We start from the raw sequence: 10,810 nt of genomic DNA on the forward strand, positions 1-10,810 counted from the left end.
CACAGTGGCTCATGCCTGTAATCTCAACAACTTGAGAGGTTAAGGTGGAGACTTGCTTAAGGCCAGGTGTTCAAGACCAGCTTGGGCAACAAAGCAAGACCCCCGTCTCTACAAAAAATATAAAAATAAGCTGGGCATGGTGGCACATACCTGTAGTCCCAGCTACTTGAGGCTGAGGTGGGAGGATTTCTGGAGCCCAGGAAGTCAAGGCTGCAGTGAGCCACGATTGCACCACTGCACTCCAGCCTGGACAGCAGAGCCAGACCCTGTCTCCAAAACAAACAAACAAAAAAAAGAAAAAATCAAGGAGAATCTGATCTAACTCTCCTGCTTAAAAAAACTCTCCTGGCTACCCAATGAGTTTAGAAGAAAATTCACTTTCTGCACTGGCCCCAGCCCACTTCACCTCCAACAACTCTTTCCTTGATCATTGTGTTCTAGACCCCTGGGCTTCATTATCAAGTGTTCCAGGTTCATTGTACTCGGGCCTTTGAAGTAGCTGCTCTGCCCAGGATCTCTGCACACTTGGCTCCTCTTCATTCAGTCTCTGCTTAAACATCTCTGAAAGCCCTTTTAACTGTCTTCCCAGTCTTATTTTCTTCTCAGCTTTAACCACTGCCTGATATTTTCTTGTTTGTCCAACTTCCTCTCCTCCTACTCCCCATGGTAACAGTACTGTGTCTTAGGCAGGGATTTCTTACCTCTTTCACAACACATGACAAAGTAGGTACTCAAATATTTGTCAAGGGAGGGTACTGTGTGATACGAGACAGGGAGTTGGCCCTCAGTTAGAGGTGGTTATTCAAATCAGGCCAAGTTTGAACTTTTTTTAAATTGGAGGGAGTTTGCTTTTGTGTTTTTGTTTTGCTTTTGAGACAGTCTTGCTCCGTTGCCCAGGCTGGAGTGCAATAAATAGTGTAATCATGGCTTACTGCAGCCTCAACCTCTTGAGCTCAAGTGATCCTCCTGCCTCAGCCTCCTGAGCAGCTAGGACTACAGGCACAAGTCACCAAGGCTGGCTAATTTGTATTTTTTGTAGAGATGGGATCTCACTATGTTGCCCAGGCTGGTTTCAAACCCCTGGGCTAAAGCAATCCTCCCCCTCAGCCTCCCAAAGCATTGGGATTAGAGGCATGAGCCACTGCACCTGGCCCCAACTTTGAATGTTCACAAGGCAGCAGGGAATATTTCTTACAGGTATGTAATATTCATCTGTTTCTGACCATACGAGATGGTCCAGACTACATTATAGAAAAGAGAAAATTGGATAAAGAAAGTCAACTGACTCTTGTCTTCAGTGAATAGCAGCCAAGAATAGTTTTGGTAGAAAAGACTAATTCAGACATATCAATTTGAAAGGGGCAGTGCAGACAACTTGGAGATTTGCATCAGAGAATTTAGAGCTGGCTGGGCACAGTGGCTCATGCCTATAATCCCATCACTTTGGGAGGCCAAGACGGGTGGATCACCTGAGGTCAGGAGTTCGAGACCAACCTGGCCAACATGGCAAAACCCTGTCTCTACTAAAAATACAAAGATTAGCCAGGTGTGGTGGCACATGTGCCTGTAATCCCAACTACTTGAGAGGCCGAGGCAGGAGAATCGCTTGAATCTGGGAGGCAGAGGTTGCAGTGAGCCTAGATCAAGCCACTACACTCCAGCCTGGGCAACAGAGTGAGACTCTGTCTCAAAAAAAGTAATTTAGGGCCAAGACTGATGTTGTAAGAAGAGAGACAAGCTCTATGCAAGATCAGAACAAGGATCGAGTCTTGAGGATGCTCACATTAGGGCCTGAGAGAATGAAGAATTAGCAAAGAACCAGGACAAAGGAGGGAGTTGGAGATAGAACAACAGAGTTAGTATCAGAGGCACTGCTGGCAACAGTAGTCACTGCGCCAGGGACAAGTCCCTAAAATCAAGCTCCAGCCACCCACAGCAAGACAGGAGCTACAGGAGAGCATGTCAGCTGAGCCTCAGAGCAGAGGAAACCAACAGCCCACACCATCCCTCTGGGTTTCAGATCCTGGTGGCTCTGCCTGCTTTAAAGCATTAGTTTCCTCCACAGCCTGGGAAAGAATAGCCTATATACCTTGTCTGCAAATCTGATCCTGGGAAATGCAAATTAGTTCCTGGAATTGACCAATCTCTCCCACTCTCCGATCTCAAAGCCAGAGAGGTGGAGGGTGACACCTGGTTTAAACATTCACGAAGCTCTCAATCATTGTGAGTCATGTTGACCTCCTCCCCAACCAATGTGGACAAAGGGACCTCAGTGAATCCAGAGTCCTTTGGTTGCTGCCCAGGGAGCCCTCACACAAGTTGGCTTAAGACTATCTCAGGCTTTAGATTTCTTCAATACAACTTCAAGCTCGAGGTAGCTTTACTCCTAGCAACACATCAGAACTCAGTATACCTGGGAAGGGAAGAGAACAACATTGCAAGACAGCCTCAGCACTGGGAGATCAGGCTAGGAAACACTGGTGTCCGATCCACATGTGTCCTTTTTTTTTTTTTTTTTTTTTTTTTTTTGAGACAGAGTTTCATTCTTGTAGCCCAGGCTGGAGTGCAGTGGTGCGATCTCAGCTCACTGCAACCTCCACCTCTCGGTTCAAGCAATTCTCCTGCCTCAGCCTCCCACGTAGCTGGGATTACAGGCACCTGCCACCACGCCCAGCTAATTTTTGTATTTTTTTTCTTTTTTTGGTAGAGATGGGGTTTCATCATATTGCTGAGCTGGTCTCAAACTCCTGACCTCAGGTGGCCCACCCGCCTCGGTCCCCCAAAGTGCTGGGATTACAGGAGTGAGCCACCATGCATGGCTTACTTTTAAGTAATCTCAAATTCTGCCCCATAAGGAAGCGTTGCTTTTTAAGACTAAATTGGCCAGGCACAGTGGCTCACACCTATAGTCTCAACGCTTTGGGAGGCCAAGGCAGAAGCTTGAGGCAGGAGTTTGAGACCAGCCTCAGCAAAATGGTGAGACCCTATCTCTACCAAAAAAGATTAAAAAAATTAAAAATTAATCCGGCATCGTGATGGGCACCTATAGTCCCAGATACTCGGTGGGAGGATCGCCTGAGCCCCAGAAATCAAGGCTGCAGTGAGCCATGATTGTGCCACTGCACTCCAGCATGGGTGACAGAGACCCTGTCTCAAAAAGAAAAGAAAAAAAGAAAAGAAAAAATCATTGCTATTGATCACAGTATCCTTTTAACATCTTGAAAACTAGATTCCTAGTCACCAGAATAACCAATGTCAAGAGGATCATCAGTTGAACCAAAATTTGGGTTTAAATGAGATTCTATTTCTAGGTCTCCAAGAGTTGAGACATAGGGCATTTATAAGTCTGGAGTAGACAAGAATTATGGGCCTATTTAAGGAGCAATGGCCAAAAGGGATTTTTTTTTTTTTTTGAGACAGAGTCTCACTCTGTTGCCAGGCTGGAGTGCAGTGGGTCGATCCCAGCTCACTGCAACCTCCGCCTCCCGGGTTCAAGTGATTCTCCTGTCTCAGCCTCCCAAGTAGCTGGAACTAAAGGCTCACACCACCACACCCCCCAGCTAACTTTTGTATTTTTAGTAGAGACGGGGTTTTGCCATGTTGGCCAGGATGGTCTCAAACTCTTGACCTCATGATCCACCGTCTTGGCCTCCCAAAGTGCTAGGATTACATGTGTGAGCCACTGCACCTGGCCTTTTAAAAAAAAAAAAAAAAAAAAAAAAAAAGAGAGAGAGACAGAGTCTCATTGTTGCCCAGGCTGAAGTGCAGCGGAGCAATCATAACTCACTGCAGCCTTGACCTCCTGGGCTCAAATGATCCTCCCACCTCAGCTTCCTGAGTAGCTGGGACCACAGGAACAAGCTACCACACTTCACTAATTTTTTAAATTTTTTGTAGAGATGGGGTCTTACTCTGTCACCCAGGTTGGGGTGCAGTGATACAATCATAGCTCACTGCAGCCTCAAACTACTGGGCTCAAGCAATCCTCTCACCTCAGCCCCCCAAGTAGCTGGGACTACAGATATGCACCACCATACTCAGCTAATGTTTTCATTTTTCAGAGATGCGGTCTTGCTGTGTTGCCCACGCTGTTCTTGAACTCCTGACCTCAAGTGATCCTCCTGCCTCCACCTCTCAAATCACTGGAATTATGCACATGAGCCACTGCACCTGGCCCAAAACATTTATTATGTGCCCAGAATTTTAGACATTTAGGATTAAATGAAGTTTCATCTAATACTAAGGTAAAAATATCCCCATTTTGCAGGTGAAGGAGCCATCTCAGACATCATTTCCCAAAGTTCCCATAACTGTGAAGTATCAGAACCAGGACATCAGATTTGACTCCTGCGTCCAAGCTTTGCAGCCAATAATCTGTAACAAGGTCTAATTAGGAAAGCATGAGATCACCACCATGGCCAGTGCAGTGGCTCACACCTGTAATCCCAGCACCTTGGGAGGCCAAGGTGGGCAGATCCTCTGAGGTCAGGAGTTTGAGATCATCCTTGGCCAATGTGGCAAAACCCCGTCTCTACTAAAAATATACAAAAAAAAAAAAAAATTAGCCAGGGATGGTGGCATGTGCCTGTAGTCCAAGCTACTTGGGAGGCTGAGGCAGGAGAATCACTTGAAACTGGGAGGCAGAGGTTACAGTGAGCTGAGATCGCACCACTGCACTCCAGTCTGGGTGACAGAGCAAGACCCTATCTCAAAAAAAAACAAAAAACAAAAACAAAAACAAAAAAACTAGCCAGTTGTGGTGGTGTGCACCTGTAGTCCCAGCTACTTGGGAGGCTGAGGAGGGAGAATCGCTTGAGCCCAGGAGGTGGAGGCTGCAGTGAGCAGAGATCACGCCACTGCAATCCAGCCTGGATAACAAAGAGAGACCCTGTTTCAAAGGAAAGAGGGGAGGGGAGGTAGGGAAGGGGAGGGGAGGTAGGGGAGGGGAGGGGAGGTAGGGGAGGGGAGGGGAGGTAGGGGAGGGGAGGGGAGGTAGGGGAGGGGAGGGGAGGTAGGGGAGGGGAGGGGAGGGAGGGAAGGCAGGCCACCACTATGGGTGGCACTTAACACATGGGGTGAGATGTTAGAAAGGAGGAAAGCCCATTTCATGCAACAGAAACAATAGAGGCCACTTCTGAAATACCTGCTCTAGCTGCCACCTTGTTGCTACGCTTCACATGTTGCCAATGGCACAATTATCTCAGTTAATGAGACTGAGCATGCATGAGGAAGAGGCCAGTTTGGTACAAGGGGCTGCAATCCTGCCTCTGGGAAAACCCAAGACAGCACTCAGCTCTAAGACCATTGCCAAGGGAACTGCTCATCCTTCTGCCACAACCTGGAAGCCATGGCTATTAGAAACTCGGCGCGGTGGCTCATGCCTGTAATTCCAGCACTTTGGGAGGCTGAGGTGGGTGGATCACAAGGTCAGGAGTTCGAGACCAGCTTGGTCAACATGGTGAAACCCCGTCTCTACTAAAAATACAAAAATTAGCTGGGCGTGGTGGTGGGCGCCTGTAATCTCAGCTACTCGGGAGGCTGAGGCACTGGAATCGCTTGAACCCGGGAGGCAGAGGTTGCAGTGAGCTGAGATGGTGCCACTGCACTCCAGCCTGGGCAACAGAGCGAGACTGTCTCAAAAAAAAAAAAAAAAAAAAAAAAAAAGGCATTTGCCACCTTCCTTCAAACCAAATATCACAGGAAATGGCTTGAAGCCGAGAAAGCTCAGCTGCAGATGAGACAGGGTCCTCCCCACTCCTTGAGGTATCTTTAGGGAGAGGGTTGAAGGTTATAGAGCTAGCAGATCACTTCGTGTAGGGACATTCTGCAAACCCAGCGGCAGAGCAGATCCCTGTTGCTTCTCCAGGCTTCTCTGGTCACAGCTCGGATTCCGCTTCTTTCCCTTCACATGGCTGTTGGCAGCGACCAGGAGAGCTGGGTGCCCTGTCGTTCTTTACTTAAGAAAGTGTTGACAGCCAGGCAGAGGCTCATGCCCGTAATCCCAGCAGTTTGGGAGGATTATTTGAGACCAGGAGTTCAAGACTTGGGGCAACACAGTGAGACCCCATCTCTACAAATAAATGAAAAAAATATATAGCCAGGTGGTTGCTGTACAACTGCAGTCCCAGCTACTCAGGAGGCTAAGGCAGGAGGATCACTTGAGCCCAGTAGGTTGAGGCTGCAGCAGCGAGTTATGATTGCACCACTACGCTCCAGCCTAGGCAAGAGATCCCTTCTCTAATTAAAAAAAAAAAAAAAAGAAAAGCACTGAGTTATACACAGTCCAAGTCAGTACCCTGCCCCTTTTTGTTTTGAGATAGGTCTTACTCCCACCATCCAGGCTGGAGTGCAGTGGCACAATCACAGCTCACTACAGCCTCGACTTTCTGGGCTCAGATGACCTCTCACCTCAGCCTCCCAAAGGAGCTGGGGCTACAGGCACACACCACCACACCCAGCTAAGTTTTTTGCATTTTAGAAAGACAGGTGTCTTGCTACATTGCCCAGGCTTGTCTCGAAGTCCTGGGCTCAAGTGATCCTCCCACTTCAGCCTCCCAAAGTGCTTGGATTACAGATATGAGCCACTGCACCTGGCCCAAGTCAGTACCTTTGTTCATTGGTTCTTCAAGTTTGAGATCCCAAGAAAGCCGAACTAGTGATTAAGACAAATGTCATCCACCTAGGGGTTTTATTTATCCCTGGGGTCTCAGGCCAGCTCAGCTGCTCCCTATACACTGTAAGACCCCTGCCCTGTGTGACAGGTACCAGAGGCCCTGCCAAGGAACCCTACCATGCCCAAGGTCCCCTAGGCTCCCAAGCTTCTTACCAACACCCTCTTTTTTTTTGTGAGATGGAGTCTGGCTCTGTCGCCCAGGCTAGAATGCAGTGGCGTGATCTCAGCTCACTGCAACCTCCACCTTCCAGATTCAAGCAATTCTCCTGCCTCAGCCCCCTGAGTAGCTGGGATTACGGGCATGCGCCACCATGCCTAGCTAATTTTTGTATTTTTAGTGAAGACAGGGTTTCACCATGTTGGCCAGGCTGGTCTCGAACTCCTGACCTCAGGTGATCCGCCCGCCTTGGCCTCCCAAAGTGCTGGGATTACAGGCATGAGCCACCATGCCCAGCCACCTCTTACCCTTTCAATCCTTCTGAGTAAGGGACCATTATGGACTTCCAGGTCTTATTAACGGTATTGAGTCGCTTCCTCTGGTTGGGGCATTTCAGGCCATTTTTGAGCTTTCTATACTTTTCTAGATCTAGCTGAGTTTTTCCTGTGAGCAACTTTCATGAACTGAGAACCATTTTAAATTAAGACATGTCATCATCCAAGAGTTGGCTTCTACAAAATAGCATTTTTTGGATTTCAAAGTAACACATAGTGAGGGCTTAAAGGATATAAATACTTCAGAAATATATTGAACGTTAGCTTCCAATAACCCCACTCCTCCACCAAGTTAACCTTTAAAAACTCACCACCCTCTGTGTGCCCAGCCCGGCTGCAGCTGCACAGGCACTGACATGGTAATTCGAGGAGGGGATCTTGAACATGCCATTTTGTGACATGTGTTTCTTTCATCTGTACCTTGGACATCATTTGATATCTGTATGTTCAGATCTGCATCACTACCAGCCAGTTCTTCAAAGTAGGGTTTGTTTAAGCTAAAAACACATGTTGGATTCGAGCTAGCGAGTCAATGAGACTTATCTGCCAGGAAGGAGGGGTTCAGGGATCCCAGCAGCCTCTGCCTCAATGCCCCAAGATGCATTGGTCCACAAGCTGAGGCTAGCTGGGGTTGGGGGTGGAGAGGGAAGGTAAAGTGTCCAGGGACAGGAGAGGACAGCCAGGGAGGAGAAAAGGCCCAGGAACGGGGACTCCACCTTGCCTTTTTTTTTTTTTTTTTTTTTTTTTTTTTGAGACAGAGTCTTGCTCTGTCACCCAGGCTGGAGTGTAGTGGTGCTATCTCGGCTCACTGCAGCCTCCGCCTCCTGGGTTGAAGCAATTCTCCTCCCTCAGCCTCCCAAATAGCTGGGATTACAGTCACACACCACCACACCCAGCTAATTTTTGTATTTTTACTAGAGACAGAGTTTCATCATGTTGGCCAGACTGGTCTGGAACTCCTGGCCTCAAGCAACCCACGCACCTCGGCCTCCCAAAGTGCTGGGATTACAGGCGTGAGCCTCCATGCCCGGCCCCACCTCGCCACTCTTTAGCTTTCTGAGGGGCTTTACCAACATGAATGAGACGCACCTGGGGATTCCAGACTTCAGTTTCAATGCTGAGAAAGAGGGGCCAGAGGGGCTGCAGGCCATGCCCAGGTTGAAGTGATCTCGGCTCACTGCAGCCTCAAACTCCCTGGCTCAGGCAATCCTCCTGCCTCAGCCTCCCGAGTAGCCAGGACCACAGGCATGCACCATCACACCTGGCTAATTTTTTTATTTTTTGGTAGAGACTGGGCCTCGCTATGTTGCCTACTCTGGTCTCAAGTGATCCTCTCCCTTCAGCCTCCTGAGTAGCTAGGACTACAGGTGCACACTGCCATACCTGGCTGATTTTTTCAAATTTTTTTTTCTTTTTTTTGTAGAAACAGGGTCTTTGTTGCCCAGGCTGGTCTCAAACTCCTGTTCACAAGAAGGAGGCAAGAGACCAGGCCCTCTACCTGTGAAAGATATAAAAGCAAGCTTCCTGAGAGGGGGCTGAATCGGGAACAAGTCCCACAGGTGACAACATCCCGGGGAGTACTTCAGGAAGGAGGGGCACATGGCAAGGCCGAGGACATGGGAGTCACAGCCCACTATGTGGTTAGACTCACTCCAGACACCCCGCAAGCCCGCGTCTGGGCTCTGCAGAGTAAACAGACCCCTGCACCTACCACTTCCTCCTTATCCACCCTCAAAAACAAGCCAAAGACGACCTAGCACAGTGTCTCTAAAGACACTGGCTGATTTCAACAGAGACAACAGCCTAGGCCTTCTCCAAGCTGCCCCCATGGGCAGGCAGATCTGCTTCAGAAAGGGCCCCCAGAGGCACCTCCGTGGTGGAGAGCAAGGACACAGCAGCCTCCTCAGGGCCCCCAAACAGCTGCCTGGCTCATTACCCGTACAAGAGCAAGATATCTGATCAGCCAATACCCAGACAGAAGGACTCAGCCACGTCTGGAGCCGGGGCTCGTGCACACATTCGCACTTTCTCACACAGGGACAAGCCACCAACCACTCACCTGGCCAGGAGCCGCAGCCTCCAGCCCCTTGGTCAGCCTTAAATGCCCTCAGCTGATGGCAGGTGTTTCGCAGCCCTTGGCCCCACCTCACAGGGCTGATTCTACCCCCACGCCGATGGTTCTTATGCGTGAACGCAGATTGGAATCACTTGGGGAGTTTTGAGCCCGCCCCGGGCAAGAGGCTGATTGAGTTGGTCAGGGAGGCTGAGGGGCGAGGCCCGGGTCTCCCAGGTGAGTCTCATGTTCAGAACCTTCAGCCTCTGCAGCTGTAGCATTTTGAGGCCCTTGAGTAAACCATCAAAAGGTGAAGTGGGGTGAGGGTTGAGGGGAATTCCTTCTAGGGAAGGGTTTGCATTCTGGACGTTTAAGGCTCCTAGGATCTAGCTAGGTTGAGTGGCCTCTTCCTAAACTTGCACAGAAGGCTTAAAAGCTGCTGTTGAATTAATTAGCGTTTACTCCCAAGGCAGGCAATAAGATTTGATGGAGGTGAGAATAGATCTGCTTCATACTGGAATGAAAATAAGAACATTTCAGGTATTGATTCTGCAAATATTTAGACTGCCTACTCTAATCTTCATGTGCCACGCCCTGACAAAGCAGCAGTGAATGAATGACCTGGTCCCTGCCCTCCCAGCAAAGTGGAAACCAGACGGCAATTGTAGTCTGGTGCAGTGGCTCACGCCTGTAATCCCAACACTTTGGGAAACCAAGGCAGGAGGATTGCTTGAGCCCAGGAGTTTGAGACCAGCCTGGGCAATGTAGTGAGACCCCGTCTCTACAAAAAAAAAAAAAAATTAATTAGCTGAGAGGGCCGGGCACAGTGGCTCACACCTGTAATCCCAGCACTTTGGGAGGCTGAGGCGGGATGATCACTTGAGGCCAGGAGTTCAAAACCAGCCTGGACAACGTGGCAAAACCCCATCTCTACTAAAAATACAAAAGTTTGAGATCAGACTGGCCAACATAGTGAAACTCCATCTCTACTAAAAATACAAAATTAGCCGGGAGCGGTGGTGAACGCCTGTAGTCCCAGCTACTCAGGAGGCTGAGGCAGGAGATTCACTTGAACCAAGGAGGCGGAGGTTGCAATGAGCAGAGATCGCTCCACTGCACTCCAGCCTGGGTGACAGAGCGAGACGAAATAAAGGAAAGAAAGAAAGGAAAATTGGAGCACTTGTAAACCAGGCTTCCCGGGTTGCGATGACAGTGACGGGGCCTGGCTTCTATCACTCCAGGCCATTCCACTCTGTCCTGTCATCTGTGGAGAATAAATGAGACTGAGAAGGTGGATGAGGCAGAATTGATTTTCTTGCCCAAACTGACTTCACAGAGCATCATAATAAAAAGACGGGTCATTTACAATCCTGCTGTTCTCCTGAAGCTTTTCAGCCTTGAATAAGATGAACAATCCAGGGCTCCTGCTCCCCAGCCCTGGGGCTGCGGCCTGCCCTAGAGGGGCAGGGAAGGAGGAGAGGGACATGGGCAGAAGCATGGCCAGGTGTCACATGGCCTCAGTGAGCGCCAGCACTTACCATGTCCCAGGAGAATGGGTTTTCTCTGTTTTTTTAAATCTTGTTTTCAGACAG

The 10,810-nt window shown here is 49.2% G+C and overlaps 1 protein-coding gene across 8 annotated transcripts in view, besides 2 other annotated features; it reads right to left on the bottom strand.

The window, feature by feature from the left end:
• The window catches only part of KPNA7 (karyopherin subunit alpha 7), a 73,616-nt gene extending 63,929 nt beyond the window's left edge, over nucleotides 1-9,687 (bottom strand). For 5 of the 8 annotated variants that reach the window (XM_017012211.2, XM_011516215.3, XM_017012209.2 and 2 more), the window contains exon 1: nucleotides 483-549. In XM_017012211.2, the coding sequence (XP_016867700.1) occupies nucleotides 483-540 (58 nt within the window). In that variant the 5' untranslated portion in view covers nucleotides 541-549. Of the gene's footprint in view, nucleotides 1-150; nucleotides 188-406; nucleotides 550-9,224 lie in introns of those variants that run through there. The other 3 variants (XM_017012213.2, XM_017012210.2, XM_017012214.2) reach the window with 3 other exon arrangements.
• Nucleotides 3,554-3,848: a silencer, noted in NCBI's record as "tiled region #10425; K562 Repressive non-DNase unmatched - State 22:ReprW". NCBI's record gives its function as "represses a minimal TATA promoter and a strong SV40 promoter by Sharpr-MPRA in K562 cells {active_cell/tissue: K562}" and the evidence as "EXISTENCE:reporter gene assay evidence [ECO:0000049][PMID:27701403]".
• Nucleotides 3,554-3,848: an enhancer, noted in NCBI's record as "tiled region #10425; HepG2 Activating DNase matched - State 5:Enh". NCBI's record gives its function as "activates a minimal TATA promoter and a strong SV40 promoter by Sharpr-MPRA in HepG2 cells {active_cell/tissue: HepG2}" and the evidence as "EXISTENCE:reporter gene assay evidence [ECO:0000049][PMID:27701403]".

The sequence above is a fragment of the Homo sapiens genome, chromosome 7, assembly GCF_000001405.40.
Source record: "Homo sapiens chromosome 7, GRCh38.p14 Primary Assembly".
NCBI classification, from domain to species: domain Eukaryota; kingdom Metazoa; phylum Chordata; class Mammalia; order Primates; family Hominidae; genus Homo; species Homo sapiens.